The sequence below is a fragment of the Homo sapiens genome, chromosome 6 (genome assembly GCF_000001405.40).
Source record: "Homo sapiens chromosome 6, GRCh38.p14 Primary Assembly".
Classification (NCBI taxonomy): domain Eukaryota; kingdom Metazoa; phylum Chordata; class Mammalia; order Primates; family Hominidae; genus Homo; species Homo sapiens.
The window spans coordinates 162727909-162749148 of NC_000006.12; the positions used below are offsets into that span (position 1 = coordinate 162727909).

General features: G+C 35.4%; 1 protein-coding gene across 20 annotated transcripts in view; it reads left to right on the plus strand.

Moving 5' to 3' along the window:
• PACRG (parkin coregulated) overlaps positions 1 to 21240 on the plus strand; it is a 588369-nt gene that overhangs the window by 777 nt on the left and 566352 nt on the right. For 12 of the 20 annotated variants that reach the window (NM_001080379.2, XM_011535461.4, XM_011535462.4 and 9 more), the window contains exon 1: positions 66 to 483. In NM_001080379.2, the coding sequence (NP_001073848.1) occupies positions 328 to 483 (156 nt within the window). In that variant the 5' untranslated portion in view covers positions 66 to 327. Of the gene's footprint in view, positions 1 to 65; positions 484 to 21240 lie in introns of those variants that run through there. The other 8 variants (NM_152410.3, NM_001080378.2, XM_017010277.3 and 5 more) reach the window with 2 other exon arrangements.

A 21240-nucleotide genomic window follows, 5' to 3' on the forward strand; every position in this document is an offset into this window, starting at 1 on the left:
GCTTCAGGCCCAGCAATCTTACGTCACCGGGGGGCGGGGCTATGCGCCCGCCGTGTTGACCAGTCGCTTAGCAACCGGGAGGCTTACCTTTGGAAGCTTGTTGCAGCTCTAGCCAAGGTCCTGCCCTCTTCCCGCCCCGCCCCTAGGGTCCAGCTCCCTTCACCTAGGAGCTGCCAAACATCTGGATCAACCTGGGCACTACGAGGGGTTGAATTTCTACCATTATCGCGCCTTTTGATATTTTTTTCCAGACCTCCTGCTCACATCCGTAAAGCCCACTGATTCTTTTACTACACTTTTTATGAGAACAAGACATTTTCTAGGAAGATGGTGGCAGAAAAAGAGACCCTGAGCTTAAACAAATGCCCAGACAAGATGCCGAAGAGGACCAAGCTGCTGGCACAACAGCCGCTCCCGGTGCACCAGCCTCACTCTCTGGTTTCTGAGGGTTTCACAGTCAAAGCCATGATGAAAAACTCAGTCGTAAGTGATCTTCCTGAATTAAATGCACTCGCTCTGAATCAGGGGACACGAGATTTACAGAGGTTGGCCAGCCTTAGGATGGACTCTGAGCCATGTCCTGGGTGGTCTTTGCCAAAAAAGGCAGTTACTTGGCAAGTAGCAAACGGTGCCCCACAGTGTGTGGGGGGCAGGCTAGGTTGTTAGAATCTTGGGCAAGTGATGTACTCTGCCCATTTATAAGCACCTTCCTGATAACTTATGGTTTCTGGACCGCCCAAAATTACTCTTAAGCTATTTACACGAGGAAAAAAGATCCCCTTTACTTACTAATTCCTAACTAGCCCCACTCAGCAAAGGGCCTTATAGAAGGTGAGTTCTTAGAAATCATAAACTCTTGCAAAATTTAACATGAGCTGATATACAACCGGGAACATAAACTCATGAAATAATCTATAATGAGAAATTTCTTCACTTCAACCTAGGAAATTTTAGAATATCCTAGCATTTGCTCTAACAACACTTGTCTCTTACAAAATGATGTCATCTTCTTAGAGTACTGAAAGCCAACTTAATATGAACACTGTTTCCTGACAGGCCTTTTAAGATGATGTGCTTTAAACAATACAAGCTTTAGCTCATATATCTCTGCTACTAATACAATTCATATTTCATCTCTATTATTTGTAGTAATAAAAATAAAATATTCTAAGTATCATTAGAGAAAAAAGATTAAAAATATATACAAATATTTTAGCTGTCTGCATGATAGTATATATTTTTTAAACCTTCCTATTTGTTAAATAGCTTTACACTTGGTATGCTAAGACAGATTTTGCTACTGAGTAAGCAACTGTCTGGGAATGAGGCATTAAATAATAAATGCATCTTTCAAATTTGTGTAATTTACACCCTGGGAAGATCTGAGTTATTACATGGCAATTCATTATGTTAAATGAATAGTGTTGTTTTCCAGTGTCACATTATTTCCTTTGCTTATAGGTTGCAAACCTGATAACTTATTCCTAAACGACATACTTAAAATACATGAATGAAACAGATTACCTATAGACCTCTAGGCCAGGTTCCCATGTGGCTATGCAAAACGATATCCTAATTATTGGGAAGTGTGTCAGGTGATTTACAGTAGTTAAAATTCTTGGAAATGGACTAAAATTCTGCTTGTTGTAACTAATTCTTTTTCATGGAATTTCACATAAATTGGTTCTCCTAGGAGTCAAGATGATGCATTTATCAGCAATACCATAACCATTCAGGTTAATCATTTAGTTTTTCTTCTACACAATATTTACAATTTTGATGTTTTTTAATGTTATACTTTAATTTTTTTTTTACTGGTTGGGGTTCTTTTCTGTTTTTTCCTAAACCTGTATTCATAATTCTTGTATCATATTAATTCTTTAATATAATCTTACACCTAAAGAGATAGTTCTGCAAAATCTGATGTTTCTGTATTGCCAAATGTAATAAGTATGCCTACATGACTTAAAAAAAACATTGATTATGAAGCAGGCTTCTTTATAAACAACTTAATTGAGATCCATTATCTTCTCTTTTTATGTTCTAAAGGAAAATCTTGTACTAGCAATACCTCTCTTGCCATTGGAAATCGTAATTCTTAAATGCAAACATTATTTATCCATTCATCTATTTATTCAGTCAACAACTGTCTCTCTTTTTTTTTTTTTTAATACCCAGTGTTTGCTAAGCACAGTTCTGGGGATTTGGGATCAGCAAAGCAAAGTCCCTGCCCTTAGTACTCCGAGGAAAACCAAAATAACAACATTCAAATCTTGATAAAAGAAGGCTGGACAATACCGTTTATACAAAATAACTTCAGTGGTACAGGAAATAAAAATTTTCAATTTCATAACCAATATTTACATTTCACCATTTTTATCTTTAGCAGTATAGACTTCTCAGCATTATAAGGTGAAAATGTCCTCATCTCTTTCTGAAGGTGTATTTTGATTCAGGACGTGTATGCCAATTTCCAGCTTTTCTTAATTGCAACCTCATGCTCCAAGAGCCAACACCCTCCAAACCACTTTTCCAGTTAGATAAGTCAACATTCCAATGCTCTTCCACCTAAAACATGAAGAACTGTATATATCATAAGGAGTTATACAGAGACTCCTGATATTTCTCTGAGTGCGATAGTGATACAAGTACATAAACTTGATAATAAATATGTTTCATCAAATGGGCTGTGCAAGCAGAAATGCTTATTTAAACAATCTGGATATGAGAGTGCAAGATTATTGAAAAAATAATGATAAATGTAAATGGCAAAATTTTTAAAATCTCAATGTCAAATATTTTTCTTCAATAGAAACTAGACTTTCTTTCCATGAAATTTTTGTTGCATTCTATAAGAAAACAAGCATCACAAAAGCCCTGCAATGAAATAATATTCAAATTCACATTTTTATAGTGCTTGCCTATAAAGAGATATGAGATACACAACTTGAAGATTTCATAGTTCATTTTCCTTTAAAAGTCTTGTTTGGGGTGTGATAGAGCCCATGACCAGAAACTAGTAACCCAGTATTTTGTTGTCTTTATCTTGTCAGATACTTTCTGTGCTGAACAAGCTTATCACGAAGCAAGTTAGAAAATCGACCCAGGGTTATGGTGACAGAGAAGTTGAGTTCAGCCTAAGCTTTCTATTACAGCTTTCCTTCTCAAAAGACTATAGATGCTTTATGCTCAAAGTTTAGGGGAATGGAATAAATAATTTTTTTAATATTAAAGGTTGAGTATTCCTATTCCAAAAGTCTGAAACCTGAAGTGGTCCAAAATACAAAACTTTTTGAGTGTTGACATTACACTCAAAGAAAACTCTTTTGAGCATTTTGGATTTCAGATTTTCAGAACTGGCGTGACCATCAGTATATAATACAGATATAGTCAGCTCTTTGTACAGATTCTGCCTCCATGGATTCAACTAACCTTGGATTGAAATGTTTGGGATAAAAATTTTATCTGTATTGAACATGTACAGACTTTTTTTTTTGAGTCATTATTCCCTAAACAATAGAGCATAGCAACTATTTATGGAGCATTTATATTGTTTTAGATATTATAAGTAATATAGACATGATTTAAAGTATATAGGTAGAAATGTGTAGGTTACATACAAATACTACGCCATGTTATATCAGGGACTTGAGCATCTGAAGATTTTGGTATCTGCAGGAGGTCCTGGAAACAATTCCTCATGGAGACTGAGGGATGACTGTATTCCAAATTTGAACAAAAAACAAAAACAAATCCAAAACACTTCTGGTCCCAAGCATTTCAGATAAGGGATAGTTCAACCTATACTTTACATGTATAGTGTGTTTTATATTTACCAATCATGTGCTCATTTAACACGTAGTGGTAATCATCAATATTTATAAATTATATATTAAAATATTAATTTGGCTTCTGTAACACTGACCAAATAACAATAGCTTAATTAAGATGGAAGTTGTTTCTCTCATAATAGAAGTTCAATTTTGTAGGCAATCCCAGGAGGTTGGGCAGCATTCCCCATGAGGCAGGTGCAGGGGCATAGGAGCATGTTTGTTCTTTGCATCCTGTAAAATGACACCTGAGACAAGGGGGGCTCGAGACCACCAGGGTCAAATACCTGCCCTCAAGAAGGAGGAAAGTGGAAGCAGAGAGCTTCCCATTATGTGCATGACCCAGACACAGCACCCCACTTTCATTCTCATCCAACTGGCCAGAACCTAGTAATAAATACACCTACATTTTCCCTTTTTGCAAAAGCCTATGAAAGCTTGACCCATGAAGCAACTCCCAAGCCCACGTACCTGTCTCCTCAGGAAAAGGATGAAGGAAGCTATGTAGTTCCAAAAGGGCATCATCTCCAACACCTACTTCAGGTGGAGGAGAGAAAAATGGGTATGGAGCAATCTGCAAGAATGAGGCAGGAAGAAATGAAGAGCAAACAGCTTCACTATGAGGGCATGTCCCAGAAACAGCAATCCTCACTCCTGCTCAAATCCATTGCCAAAACCTAGTCTTATGGCCACAGCTAGTTGCAAGAGAGGCTGGGACATGTAGTCTTTAACTGGTAGCTCTGTGTCCGGCTCAAACTCACAATGTTTTATTACTGTAGCCAAGGAATATTGGGGGATAATTAGAAGTGTCTAGCTCCAGTGCTAAATGTGCTACATTATTAGTGAAGAAAAGGAGAGAGACAAGTAAAATAATTACAATACAAATAAACAGATGTCTCTGGCAGAGAAGTACTAATGATGAAGGGACCAAGTGGCGATGAACTAATGGGTGCCCTCATCACCTTTTGTCTAGGCTTGTACAATATCATCCACCTATCAATTGGTTGACTCCCTCAATCAATTATCAGTACAATTACACTAATCTTTCTGGTACAATGTTCTGCTCCTATCACTATTCAGAGCTTTTGGAGCTTCCCAATTCTTATAGAAAAAAAGTCAAGATACTTCCCCAGGGCCAGCAAGGTCTTGTGTGATCTAATCCCATTCTGTGTTCTAAAATTTCATCTCCCACTGTTCTCATTTGCTTCAGTCAATCTGAACCAAGGAAATAAACTCATATTCTTTATTTTTGTGTTTCTGTTTATGTTGTTCCCTTTGCTCGAACACCCTTCTCCCTACATATCTGCATATACAAATTCATTCTATCATCAGGTAACACATATCTATTGATCACAGACTATGTGCAAAGCACTGTTTTAAATGCTAGGAATTTAGCAGTCAGCAAAAGACAGAACACATGCTGTCAAGAAGCTTATATTTTTGTGGCCAGCAAAATGCCAACTGCTTTAAGAAGACTTCTTTAATTCTCCCTTCCTGTCACCCACATAGAAAGTTATCCTTTATTCATTGTGTTCTACTTTGTATTATGGTCATTTCTGCTCATGTTTTATCTCCTTATGTAAATTCTCCGTGAGGGCAGTATCCACATCTAAGTCACTTTTTAATCTTAACCAGAACCTAACAGTGTATTCAATAAATATTTGATGAATGAAGGAAAGCAATTCTACCCTTTCTTCTTATCTCATATTCTCCTACTTTCTTATTATAATTGTTATTTGTCTCTATTTTGAATTTTTTTAAGCCATCCTCTCTAATTGTGGAGCCCAGAAGCTCCCTTTAAAACTTGAGAAGGCCGAATCATGGCATTCGTCACCTCAACCCCTCAGGTGGCTCCCTGCCTCACTCAGAGTAAAAGCTAAGCTTCCTCTATTGGGAAGGCCCTGTGTGATCTGCCCACCCTTGCTGCTTTATGCAACTCTGCTGGCCCTGCCTCCGGAACTCAGTTAGTGCCACGCCTTTGCCCTTCCTGTTTCCTCTGCCTGAAATGCATTTTACCCTGTGTGTCCTCATCTCTTGATGCTTCAAATTTCTGTTTAAAAATTAGCTATTTAGTGAGCCTCTTCCTGACCACTCTATTTTAAACTTCAGACCCTTAACAATCCCTTCCATCCCTGCTCCAGCACTCCCATCTCCCTTCCCTGTTTTATATTTTTCCCTCTAATATTAATTTAGTTGAGCCTGTGTTTTTCTTCTACCAGAGAGTAAGCCCCAGAAGGGCAGGAATTTGTTTATTTCACCCATTGCTGCATCCTCACCTCAAGAAAAATTTATGGCACATAGTAGCTGCCATTTATCTTATTTTGATCAGTTGAATTAATGAAAGACTATATTTTATACTATAATTAGACAATCATCTTCAAATCAGTGGCTCCAAAGAAAATGCCAATGATGTTATATAGATATTAAATCTAGAAATGAGAATAATTTGCAGCTGTTTTATGCAGTATCATAAAAGTTACACATGTTCATTGAAAAAAGTTAAAGTGGTTTGGCTTAGAAAAGCTTTTTCCTGTCTAAGATGATGAGAAAAAATTCAGTCTTTTTTTCCTGGATTCTGTTTTACTTTTAATTTTTTATTTTGAAAGTTTGCTTCACCTTAAGTCATTTTGATTTTGGAAGGTATAAATTTTGACTTATTTTCCCTAAATGGCCAGAGAATTGTTACATTACCCTTTATATACTTAAATTAAATTATATCAAACATCTTCCTATCAAATTTAGGAATTCCTATCCAATTTAAATAATATATCAGTGCTGTTTTTATTATTTCAAGTAACTTTATTAATAATTGATTACTTAATGTCATATATTTATTCTTTCATATATAATAGGGCTAGTGATCTTCATTCCATTTGGCTTTTCCAACCAATCTTATGAAAAGGCAGAGTAGACTGTGTTTTTCCACTTAATGTATAAATCTCAAACAATTTACTATTTTGTGGTTGTTTAGAGATACTTATTAAAGGATAGAGCAAGGACTGGAACCTAGATTTCTAGGTTTTTCTTACAACAGTTCTCTCACATATTGTAAGTGAATCACTTGGTGAATATCAAACCAAACACACTGATACAACCAACACCCAAATCCAGAAACATTGTCAACACCACAGAACCCCATCTGTCTCTTTGTAGTCACTACCCAACATTCCCACATGCTAACCTTCTTCTGACTTTGGCCAACAGACTAGTTTCACCTGTTTTTGTACTTCTATACATGGAATCATAAAGTATGTAATTGTTTTGTGTCCAGTTTCTTTCATCAACATTCTGTTTGTGAGATTCACCCACATTATTGCATACAACTATAGTTGTAAGTAAATCCTTCATGTTTATCCCTGTCTAGTATTTTCTTGGATATACCATAATTTATTTATCCATCGCTTCCTCGATGGGTATTTGTGTGACCTCCAATTTAGAACTGTTACAAATAGCACTGCTAGGAAAATTTTTACACTTTTTTTGGAGAAAGTATCTACGCATGACCAAGGACATATTTCTGGGAGTGGAATTGCTGGACCCTAAGTCATGCTTGTTTGGCTTTAGTAACTAAACTAAAGCTGTTTTCCCAACTGATTTTTCAAATTTAAACTCTTTCCAGTGCTATATGAGAGTGCTGTTTGTGCTACAGTCTCACCAATAATTAATATTTTCTTTATTTTGCATTTTAAGTATTCCAGTAGGTATGTAATGTTATATCCTTGTCATTTGAATATTAATTTTATTGTGACTAATGAAGTTAACAACTTCTTCATATATTTACTGTCCATTTGGATATACTCTTTATTGAAGTGTCTTTTTAAGACTTTTGACTGTTTTTCTCTTGGCTTGATTTGGTTTTTTATTTATTTGTAGTACTTTTTTCCATCTATATTCTAAATGATATGAGGCACTTGTCTAGTATTGTATGTATTGCAACTACAGTTACCCACTCTGTGAGTTTCCTTTCCATTCTCAATAATGGCTTTTATTGCTCTTTTTAAAGTTACATACTTTGTGAAGAAAAATGTTTACCTCAAACATACTTGTGTATTTCTTCATAATGTTTCCTCAACCAGTTTCAACTAGCTCACAGTGAAATACATATACATTAAGACACATGACTTGGAAAATAAATTGGAGCGATTGGAAATGAAATAGAATAAACAACAGAGAAATAATAAAATAAAGTGTAATTAAAGTAGAAAGCTTGGGCTCAAGAAAAGAAGCATCAATTTTGTCATTCATAAGAGTCAGTATATTTATCAATGGATGTTCAAATTTAATTCTGAGCTTCTTGGCATCTGTTGCTGAAAGGAGAACATTATACACATCTCATTATCACAAAAGGAGAAGCCCATCAATCCCTATAGGGAACTGAAGCTTTCTCTACACTGAACTCTCTGAGAAATTGGTCATGTCACATTTTAAATACATGCAACATACCATATCTACATTTTTATCTTTTGCAAGAAATGCAGTGAAAATATCATCCACAAAAGATTTCAGTGAGAGCTAAGTACACGTTATTAAAATGTATCTTGGCAAATTGGATTTTGCCTGATATTAAATTGTTGTAGTACATGTACGTAGACTTTCGGTGGTCCAATTTGATCTGGAAATGGAATTTACAGTGCTCACAGAAATGTGTAGATTGTATATATTTTAGTTATTGTTCTCAGTTCATTTCATGATGGGAGCAAGATAGCTGCGTTTTTGTAGTTGGCAGGGAGAAAATGTGTAATATGATAAGAGCACAGAGCTGAACGACCTGAGAGGGTCTGAGTCCAGGAAAGTTTCCTGAAGGGAATCATGTTTGGTGAAATATAACAGTTGAGAAGGACCTAGGGGAGTGTGCAAAGGCTGAGAGAGACCAGGCTCCCAGCTACTGTGGTTTTCAATCTTATTTTCTGCCTTTTTTTTTTTGCCATAAATAATTATGTTGTAAGTTCTATTCATTATATACATGTTAAAAATTATTTAGATTGCATATATATTTTATATATTTTGAGAGCATATAGAGTGTATATACCTACCTGTATGTTTGTATAGATTGCAATGTACATAATTATAATACCTTATATGGAATTTTATGGATTCCTTCTAATATGCTAATATTTTACATGTTGTTGAAAGCTCATAAGCATTTAAAAGGCTTCATAAAATTCTATGCTTTGAATTTGTCATAATTTACTTTGTCTTTCACTTAGGTTGTTTTCAAGTATTTACTATTAGTGTATACATAGGGTTGAAATTAGTATCTTTCTATAAAAAGTTTTTTCTGTATTTTACAGTATTTCCTTGAAATACAATTTCTGAAGTAGATGTACTGGGTCAGAGAGCTTATCAATCTTAAAACCCCAATCAAGGTTTTATTAATACTGCCACCTGCTGTGCTTGAATGTGCCTATTCTAGCTCCTCCTGTGGCCTGCCTAAGGGGCTTTTGACTTCCCGGACCTTGCCTGCTGTCTACCTCCTCATCTGCCAGTGTTGAGGGTCAGGATCTCAGCACCTCTGAAACCTATTCATGATACAAATGAGGGGGTTGCAAACATCTAAGGCTGTAGTTCTCAGATTGCAAATTGTAATCACTTGAAAGATTCCCATTTAATTCTTCTAAGTGTTCTGGGGTTGATTTAATTAGTCTTTAATTAGGGGTTGAGAACATCTGGGTACATAGTATGATGGGGAAGATCTCAGAAAACTATTTTCTAGATGGCTACTCAATTTTCCCAAAGACATTTATTATGTAATATTTTATTCCCCATTGCTTTGTGTGTTCTTTTTCTTTTTGTGTGTTTCATAATTCTACATAATAGAGATATTTGAGAGGAATTTTTAACGAATGTCCACAGTTTTAATTATTGTGGTAATTAAACCACAACTTGGTAATATGTTTTAGAAATTGGTGGGGCTAATTTATCCTGTTAATTCCCAGAATGTTTATTTTAAATTTTAACATTTTACCGGTTTAATCTTCCAAATGACCTTTTAATAAGATGTAAAGTCGAACATCATTTTGAGTTGGAAATGATCATATAACTCACTAGCAAATAATGATCATTGTATAACAGTCTTCACTTATAGTAATATAATTTATCATTCCATGCTTATAGGTATACATTTTCCTAATAAATATTTTTATATTTATTTTATACCAAGCCATCTCACTAACCAATGTTTTCACTGAATTGCATGTATTTTATTTTAATCATGTTCTTCTACATTTTGAAAAATTTAAATCTACAAATAAATATAGAAATAGAAAAAGAGGCATTTATTCACCATCTAGATTTAATAAACAATATTTTTAATTGTAACATTATATTCTTATAAGTAAAACAATAACCTCACTAAGAGAGCCACAGCTTAATTTGTACTCTGTCCTTTCATTCCTAGAGGCAAGCAGGATCCTGAAATTTGTATACATTATTCCTAAATATGCATAATGAATATATATGTATTCGTATATCCTATAGATAGATGGATACAGAGATAGATGCAGAGATATAGAGATAATAGAAATTCAAGAACTGTTCTTCAGGTTACTTTTTCATCTGAGCTATTTGGTTACAGTGCAGGTTTCTGTAATGCCTTCAGGTCATATTCAGTTCATTAATAGCAGAATGCTATCAGTGTACGTAAGACGTTCAGATGTGACTTTCCCCATCTTGTTAGTATTTTGTGTCACAAAGTAACAGCAACTGGGTACAAATTATACTAACACAGCTAAATGCAGAGTGACACAGAGTAATAGTGTCATAGATTATACCTGTTTGCTATGGGTTCTTCTTCCTAGTTCTGTTTGTGCACTTGCTCTTGGAAGCATCTAATGTGAGGCAAGCCCAATCTTTGTAGATCCTTACAATGTCCCTATCATTTTTTCAAAAGGCATAGCACTATACTGTATTTACTCCAATATTTCATTTTTAAAGGTAAGGAATGTAATATTTTAACTGTGGTAGTTCATTTTAATTAGAATGATTATTAAATGCTCTGGTTACAAAGTTGCATGTATGTATAGAGCTTTGTAAACATTATTTTCCCCATAGGTTTCCCCATACACTTTGATATTTCTAGTTAGCCATTTTGTTAAATGGTGGTTCTCCAGGAATGCATGTCCTGTTAATAGCAAATTTGTTTACCTGCTATGTCATATTCCATTGTGTGAATAAACCAGCTTTTTAGTTCATTCTCATACTGAGGGTCCGTTAGGTTTCTACATTGCAGTATCATAACATCCTATTGTAGGATTCCTTGTGCATGAAGGCCAAAGTTCACCAGATTTGGAATTGCTGAAAGATGAGGTATAACTTCAACTTTAATAGAGTTTGTCAAATTTCTCTTCAAAGTAGTATATAAATATTTATATTGTGACCAACAGCTAATGAGAATTCTTTTTTCCAAATGCTTGTTTCCAAGATCATAAATTGTTGGTATCAGACTAAAATTGTACCAATCTGAAGTATATGAAATAATATCTTGTTTTAATTTTGCATTTCTCTGATTACTAGTGGTCATGTTTCCTTTTTATAGGAGTTTTATCATGTAGATTTCTTCCTCTTTAGTGTGCATATTCATAGCCTTTGCCCATTTTTTCTGTTACATTGTCAGTCCTTTTGTTATTGACATATAGCTGTACTTAACATACTCTAGATATGGATATGTTCTGGATATGGTATGTACATATTTTCTTGCAGTTAGCGACTTGTCTTTATACTTATTTTTACATCTTTTTAATACATAAATTTTAAATTTAACTTTAGGTATTTATACTTATCACATTCTTCCTTTATGGTTTTGGTGTTTTTAAAAAATTTTTGTCGGCCAGGCGTGGTTGCTCACGCCTGTAATCCCAGCACTTTGGGAGGCTGACGCAGGTGAATCACGAGGTCAGGAGATTGAGACCATCCCGGCTAACATGGTGAAACTCCATCTCTACTAAAATACAAAAAATTAGCTGCATGTGGTGGCAGGTGTCTGTAGTCCCAGCTACTCAGGAGGCTGAGGCAGGGGACTCACTTGAACCCGGGAGCCAGAGATTGCAGTGAGCTGAGATAGTGCCACTGCACTCCAGCCTGGCAACAGAGTGAGGCTCCATCTTTAAAAAAAAAAAAAAAAAAAAAAATTGCCTAGTTTCAAAAGAATTTTTTTGATCCTAATATTGTAAGGTTTCTTCTATGTGTTTTATTCTTATAATGTTCACACATACATTGTTAATTATTTAACTGCAAATTTACTTTTAAGATGGGAGGTAAGGCTTTCTTTTGATCTTTTCCATATGGAGAGCCACCAAGACAGTACCATCTATGAATACTAACTGAGTACTCTGTATTATGTCCCATTAGTCTCTTTGTCTGTCTCTGAACCAGTATCACACTGCCTTTATTGTTGTAGCTTTACAAATTTTGTATTTAGCGAGATGAGTTCCCCCAATTTGTTTATATCCTAGTTGACGTCGTTGCTTTCTTACTATCTATAGGAATTTTAGAATAAGCGGTCAAGTTTCATGAAAATTTCCTTGGAGATTTTAACTAGAATTTTATTCAAGGTGCAATTTGTGGGACAATATCAATCATCTTTTTTTTTTTTGAGACGGAGTCTTGCTCTGTCACCCAGGCTGGAGTGCAGTGGCGTGATCTCAGCTCACTGCAAGCTCCACCTTCCGGGTTCACGCCATTATCCTGCCTCAGCCTCCTGAATAGCTGGGACTACAGGCGCCCACCACCACCCCCAGCTAATTTTTTGTATTTTTAGTACAAAAAATTTAGTAACACCCCTGTGTTAGCCAGGATGGTCTTGATCTCCTGACCTCGCGATCCACCTGCCTTTGGCCTCCCAAAGTGCTGGGATTACAGGCATGAGCCACTTTTTTTTTTTTTTGAGATGGACTCGCTCAGCCACCCAGGCTGGAGTGCAGTGGCATAATCTCAGCTCACTGCAACCTCTGCCCCCTGGGTTCAAGTGATTCTCCTGCCTCAGCCTCCAAAGTAGCTGGGACTACAGGCCCGCGCCACCACGCCCAGCTAATTTTTGTATTTTTAGTAGAAACGGGGGTTTCACCATGTTAGCCAGGATGGTCTTGATCTCCTGACCTCATGATCTGCCCTCCTCAGCCTCCCAAAGTTCTGGGATTACATGCATGAGCCACCACGCCCAGCCATTTCAATTTTTTATATTCTTAATTTGCTAAGGGTGTTTTTCTTAATTGGAAGTAGTATTGAATTTTATCAGACACTTGCTGCATCTGTTGTGATGATTATAAGATTTGTTCCTCTTCAGTCTGTTAACGTTAATTATGTGAATACATATATTCTAATGCTGAATTATCCTTATATTCTTTTACATTATTTAATCATGATGTATTTAGCTTAAAAAAACAAGCATAAATTATTGGTGTCTCTGATTTACCAGGCAGCAAAGTCCTTCCTAGTGATCCACCACAAGGTGCTTTTGTCATATCATTCCAAGATGAGGTACTATTGCTAGGGTAGTCTTTTCAAAACTGTGTGTTATTGCTAGGGTAGTTAGTGTCTTCAAGATCAGGTATTATTGCTAGGGTAGTGTCTTAGTAGGCTGGGTCTGTCATAACACAATACCATAGACTGGGTGGCTTAAACATTTATTTCTCATGGTTCTGGAGACTGGGAAGTTCAAGGTCAAGGTGCCACCATTTTGGCTCTTGGTGAGGGCTCTCTTCCGTGCTTGCAGATAGCCACCTTCTTGCTGTGTCCTCACATGGCTTTCCTCCATACATGTTTGTGAGGAGAGCATCTCTCTCTCTCTCTCTCTCTCTTTCTTGTAGAGCCACTAATCCTGGCCTAAAGGCCCCATTCTCAAGACCTATTCTAACCCTAATTACTACCCCCAAAGCCCCATCTTAAAATACTTCACATTAGGGATTAGAGCTTCAACACATTAATTTTGGGGAACACAAACAGTCAGTATCAGGTAAGAGATGGGATTGCTGTGTTTGGCTCATCTGTCAAGACTGGAAGAAGGACCATCTCTTGGAGTTCTTGGCTGCCAGAATGAAACAATATTTCTATAAACTAAAAGAAATCAAAAACCTTCCTTTGGAAAGAAAACTAAATGTGTGTACCACATTTGCATTCTACAAAAAATATTTATTAGATTTTAATGATTTTTTTACATACTCATAATTTTTTTGCAGTGAGAACAGTTAAATCTACTCTCAGTGATTTTCAAGAATGCAATTCATTGTGATTAACTATAGTCACCATGTTGTACAATAGATCTCTTGAATCTATTTCTCCTATTTAACTAAAATTTTATGTCCTATCACCAACATCATCCCAACTCCCTCATCTCCCAGCTTCTGGTAAGTACCCTTCTACTCTTTGCTTCTGTGAGTCTGGCTTTTCTAGATTCCACGTATGATATGGTTTGGCTGTGTCCTCACCCGAATCTCATCTTGAATTTTAGCTTCCATAATTCTCACATGTTGTGGGAGGGACCCAGCAGGACATAATTGAATCATGGGGAGTGGTTTCCCTCATACTATTCTCGTGGTAGTGAATAAGTCTCACAATATCTGATGGTTTTATAAGGGGTTTCCCCTTTCATTTGGCTCTCATTCTCTCTTTGTTGCCACCATGTAAGACATACCTTTCGCCTTCCACCATGATTGCGAGGCTTCTTCAGTCACGTGGAACTGTGAGTCTATTAAACTTCTTTTTCTTTATAAATTACCCAGTCTCAGGTATGTCTTTATTACCAATAGGAGAATGGACTAATACAACATGTAAGTGAGATTGTGTGGTATTTGTCTTTCTGTGTCTGGCTTATTTCACATGCATAAATATTCTCCAGGTTCATCATAGTGTCATAAATGACAGGATTTCTTTTTTTTTCTCATTCCCTCAAGCACTTACTCTTTGTGTTACAATACTCTTGTAGTAGTTTTAATCCTTCTCTTTTTAAGGCTGAATAGTATTCCATTGTCTATATATGCTACACTTTCTTTAACTATTCATCCATTGGTGGATGCTTAGGTTGTTTCCATACCTTGGCTCTTGTGAATAATGCTGTAATAAACATGAGAGTGAAGCTATCTCTTTGAATACTGATTCAAAGAGAATAGAAAGAAGATATTCAAAGAATATCTTCTTTGAATACAGGTTCAAAGAAGAAAAGTGGAATTGCTGGATTATATGGTAGTTTAAATTTTAATTTTTTGAGGGACCTCCGTACTGTTTTTTATAGCAGCTGCACCATTTTGCATTCCTGCCAACAGTGTGCAAGGGTTCCCATTTTTCCACATCCCCACAAACACTAGTTATCTTTTGTCTTTTTGATGATAACGGTTCTAACAAGTGTGAATATCTCATTATGCTTTTAAATTACAGTGCCCTGATGATTAGTGGTACTGAGCATTTTTTCATATATCTGCTGGGCATCTGAATGTCTTATTTTGACAAATGTCTATTCAGTCCCTTTGCCCACTTTAAAAAATTTGTTCTTTTGCTATTGAGTTATTTGAGTTCATGTTTTTCTTTTACTATTTTGGGTAATTTTAAACAATTATTTTCATTGTAAAAGAGAAAAATTCTTATGTAGAGTCTTAAGAAAATACATAAAAGAGAAAAGATAAATCTCAAATCTCATTTTTTAGTGTTAATCACTCTTGAATTATTCCCACATCTCTACATGCCTTTTTTGTTTGTAGAATTGGAGTCATATCATACATATATCATACTATATTTTACATTTTAGTATGACCAATATATTCTCATTGCTAATTTATTAATGTTTTTTCCTTGATTGGATTTATTTATGCTTTGGTTTTCTTTGTATGCTATCTCTCGAACTGACATACCAATTCTTCCAGTTTTGATAATGGATTTCTTATTTCTACTCTCACATATTTTTTTCTTTTGCTTTCCATTATTAAACTTTTTTACTGAGTTTTTGAATTATTTATTTAATGCCTCTTTTTAACAGTTTTATTGAGATGTAATTCATATACATATAATTCACTCAGTTACAGTGTAACATACAGTGGCTTTTAGTATATTCTCAGAGTTGCACGTATATCACCACAATCAATTTTGAAACATTTTCCTCATGCTAAGGAAAAAAAACCCTTAATTATCATCCACCAAATGGCTTATTGGTCCCAGCTCTAGGAAATTGTTAAGCTATTGTCTCTAGAAATTTGCCTATTCTAGACATTTGTCTTTTGAAATACTTTTGTTTGTAATAGAAATTATTGTTCTTGTTATTTAAAAGATATGTAATTGTATTTTTGCTTCCCTCTTTTATATGGTTGTTACTTATGAGGAATTATTTTTCCTATTGGTTGGGGCTTTCTGATTATGGTTTGATTATGATTTTAAAAAATACAATTGTTGCTTGATGGTTATTTAGTTTCTACAGTCTAAGCTGCTTGAAGTTTATTAGAGTTTTGGTCTAGAATAGGATCATTTTCTAGAAATGTTCCTATGAAAACTTGAAAAAAAGACTTTTTTTGTCTGTAGTTATTCTGGATCATTAAATGCAGATCATTTGTTTCAGTGGGAAAGATATCAGAGACATCTATATAAAGATATTATTCCTGGCTGGGTGTGGTGGCTCACGCCTATAATCCCAGCACTTTGGGAGGCTGAGGTGGGAGGATTGCTTGAGGCTACAGTTCAAAACCAGCCTGGGAAACATAGCCAGACCCCCGTCTAAAACATTTTTTAAATAAGCCAGGCATTGTGGCACATAACTGTAATCCCAGCTTCTTGGGAGGCCGAGGTTGGAGGATTGCTTGAGCACAGGAGACCAAGGCTGCAGTGAGCTGTGATCATCACTGCACTCCAGCCTCAGTGACACAGCGAGACCCCATCTCTTTATATATATATATTTCATAAATATAAGTTGTGTATAGTAAGAATTTGGTCAGTCTTAGGCATATTTGAAATAGGTACATAAGTTTTGGTATTCCCTTCTGTTTATTTTCTATATCCCTATTTAGTAATCCATAAAAAATTGTTTAAAGATTTTAAAAACATGACTCACTGCTAAAAATCAAATGATATCATGTAATGTTTATGGCTTTTGTGATTTTGATCAGTAAGTAGAAAATGCAAAAGAAAACAAGTTATAAACAATAATCAGAAAACAATGGAGAAAATGTCATCAAAATGTATTTTTTCGTCTTTTTTTAACCATATCACAGAACCTAGCAAATTCATGTTTCAGGAGCTCTGAAAATGACCTGACAATAGGTAACAATATTTATTTATACTTCCTTTTGGGCCCAGCATTCTAGACTTTTTCTATGTTATTTATTTCCTGGAAAATATATATTTATACATTCAATGGATAACTTTCATATTTAATGGCCTTAAAATGAAATTTTTTAAAAAGATTCAGGAAGATATATATCATTTTGCTTCTGCTTCCTTAGTAAGAATTGACTTAAAAATCCATGTGCCATATATACACTACTGAATAGCCATAAAAAGGAATGAGATTGTATCCTTTGCAAGGACACAGATGAAGCTGGAAGCCATCATCCTCAGCAAACCAACACAGACACGGAAAACCAAACACTGCATGTTCTCACTCATAAGTGGGAGTTGAACAATGAGAACACGTGGACACAGGGAGGGGAACAACACACACAGGGGCCTTTCGGGGGATGTGGGGTGAGGGGAGGGAGAGCATCAGGACAAATAGCTAATGCATACGGGGCTTAAAATCTAGATTTTGATTGATAGGTGCAGCAAATCACCATGACACACATATACCTATATAACAAACCTGCTTGTTCTGCACATGTATCCTGGAACTTTAAAATAAAAATAAAAATAAAATAAAAATCTCTATGCGACATTGAGGGAGTTGTGAGGACACATACTTGACCAGACAGTGGTCTTATATTGGTGAAAAGCACATCAAGGTTTAATAACTAGGATGACTGCTGATTTTGTAGTACCTAGAAAATAAGACAAGAGACATTGAGATTTAATACTTGAGGTCCAACAACTGAAACTTTCAAGCCTGTGTGAGGTAATTAGTTAGTCTGTGGTAGTGAAGAAGTGTTCTGCTTAGGGAGAGATTTATTTTTAAGTTTTTTGTGTATATGGAAGAATCATAGCCTAAACACAAATTTAAGATATTATTATTCATGAATTTGCTTCTTTTTCAAAGTTACTGTCATTTTGGGAAAAAAGTGTAAACTGATAATATCATACATAATAATTATGTTGTATAAATAATAATTTATATTTTAGAATTATCTTCCTAAACCAGTTCAAGTTAGCCATTGATGTGACATAGATTAGAGAAAGTAATACTATAAAAAAATTATGTAATAAATGCCAAATAAAATAATAAATACAAGATAGATCATGGCTAACTACCTTACTTTTGTGGTTTTTGCTTAGAAGAAAATCTACAGAGAAATATATTTCACAGGTTGTCTATTCTAAATTAAAGTAGCTATGAATAAATAGTCCCAGAGATAAGCAGTAAATCCTTTACCAAATTTTCTGTGTCCTGCAATTTATATTTTAAGGTTATTTTGCATGATAAAACTGTAACATTGTTTTAAAATTGAGTAAAATGACACAGTGTTAAATATTTTCACTTGAGCACAAAAATTTTTTGAATATAACACGGTATTTAAATATAGTTTAGAATTTTATATGATGTAGTGATTATAGACAGAACAGTAACAGTTGTATAAGGTAAATACTAGTAACTTTAAACGGTAATGATGGATGCCTCTGTTTATGGTTTATTTCCCATTGAAATTTCTTAAGGAAATGTTATATTTGCTGATGATTTCACTAGATGGTACACACATTCACACAAAATTATCTTCTGTCATTATTAGGAGTAAATATGAAGACGTTTTAGGCAGTCATCAAATATAACTTTTACATACAAAGAATGAAGCATAAATAGCCAGTGTCTTGGTCTCCCCTCCCCTCGGTGCTTTGCACAGTGTCATAGACATAGGAGATGCTCAGTAAGAAGTGTTCTGGATTTTTTAATTCTAGCTTAGTGTGTGAAAGTGATTCCGCTCAGAATGTCCATCCCCTGTTTTACATTTCTTTCATATTCATAACTTACAGGAAAAAAGAGGTAATTAATTGACTAGGATCTTGCAGATATATAAAAGGACCCTTCTCTGTATCACACTTGGCCTTCTTATTTATGTGCAGAATTTGATTGATTTGAAACTTATCAACACTTGATACTGCAACAAATTGACAAGAATGATGTTTTAGTAAAACCAAAGAAACCAGAAATGTTGGGAGGTGTGATGTTTAATACTGAGTGCTAATTGGATTGAAGGATGTAAAGTATTGATCCTGGGTGTGTCTGTTGCTAAAGGAGATTAACATTTGAATCAGTGGGCTGGGAGAGGCAGACCCATCCTTAACCTGAGTGGCACGGGTTAATCAGCTGCCAGCACGGCTAGAATATAAGCAGGCAGAAAAATGTGAACAGAGAGACTGGCCTAGCCTCCCAGCCTACGTCTTTCTCCCATGCTGGATGCTTCTTGCTCTAGAACAACATCGGACTCTAAGTTCTTCAGTTTTGGAACTCAGACTGGCTCTCCTTGCTCATATATATATATATATATATATATATATATATATATATACACATACATATATATGTATATATATGTATATATATATGTATATATATATATAACTATAAATATATATGTAAAACTATATATATATATAACTATAAATATATATGTAAAACTATATATATATATATATATTCCATTAGTTCTGTCCCTCCAGAGACCCCTGACTAATACAGGAGGTTATCAAAAGCATGTATCAGCACCAGTACACTGGGTATATTAGACAAAATTGAAATGCTTCTAGTGACCTACGTAGTACAAACACCAAGTTTACCCAGAGCTAATGCAGGGAAAGCCAGAATCAACCAATCAACCAGATTGAGCGAGCCAGGATAGGACTTAAGCTGACCAAGACAGAGGAGACAGTTTAAGGTGATTTCACATAGACAATAATTTTACTCAGAATCCAGACCTAGATCCCAAGGTAAACTAAGATCCAGCCAAGAGTATTAGTAATGGGAGACGGGGCTCAGGAAATGTAGAGATTCATCTTAATCCACAAATATCCTTAAAATTCTTAGTCTCCCATTAGGAGACACCTGGGCTAACATCATATTTTCTGGAAAGAAGGGAGAACATTCTGGAGTGCAGATGATAAGTGGGCTAAAAAATGATTTCAGACTGCTGTGCTGATGTTAGCACTTTTCATAACAATTTAAGTTTTACTATTCTAAAATAATTAATTCAACCTATTAATTTTACTCTATGGTTTTTTAACCATAGATCTCACCTCTCTAACTCTAGTCAATCACTCAGTGATAAGTGGCATTTGTCATTAAAGAAAGTGGGTTGGAGTGAATCTGCTGAAACGTATTAAAATATTGGAAAACCAAGTCAGAACTTGTATTCAGGGCCGGGGCTGTGGCTCACGCCTGTAATTCCAGCACTTTGGGAGGCCGAGGCAGGCAGATCACCTGAGGTCAGGAGTTTGAAACCAGTCTGGCCATCGTGGTGAAACCCCGTCTCTAATAAAAATACAAAAAAATTAGCCAGGCGTGGTGGCACCTGCCTGTTATCCCAGCTACTCGGGAGGCTGAGGCATGAGAATCGCTTGAACCCCAGGAGGCGGAGGTTGCAGTGACTGAGATCGGACCACTGCACTCCAGCCTGCGCGACAGAGTGAGACTCCATCTCAAAAAAACAAAACCAAACCAAACAAACCAAAAAACTTGTATTCAGTTTATAGTGGAAAATCCATATCATCAATTTTCCATTGTCAGATTTGAAAATCTCTTCTCAAATCAATAATTATTTTCTAAAGTATCAATGAGATTCACGCACACAGTTAACAGGTAAAGTATAGAAAATGGCTTTTCTGAACCTATCAATCCCTGACCGCAGCCTACTCCCCTCCCCCAGGTTCACATCCCTTCACCTCTACCACATTTAACCCTTTTTTATTTCAAATATTAAAATAAAACCATTTCAAATCTCTACGTATTATGCTTATACTACTACTTTTTTCAAAAGCTTAATTGAAGTATCAACAATAAACCATATATATTATAGAATGTGATAAGCCTTGACAGCAATCAAGATAATGAATATATTCATCCCCTCTTTTTAATCCCTCACACTCACTCCTTCCCCCCTTCTCCAGTTAGCCAATGATCTGCTTTCTTTTACTATCAATGAGTTTGCATTTTGTAGAGTTTACATAAATCAAATTATACAGGATGTATTTTCTATGGATCTTTTTAGTCATCAGAATTATTTTGAGATGCATTCATTTGTATGTAATACTTTATTCCTTTTTATTGCTGGAAAGGATTCCATTTATATGGATATAG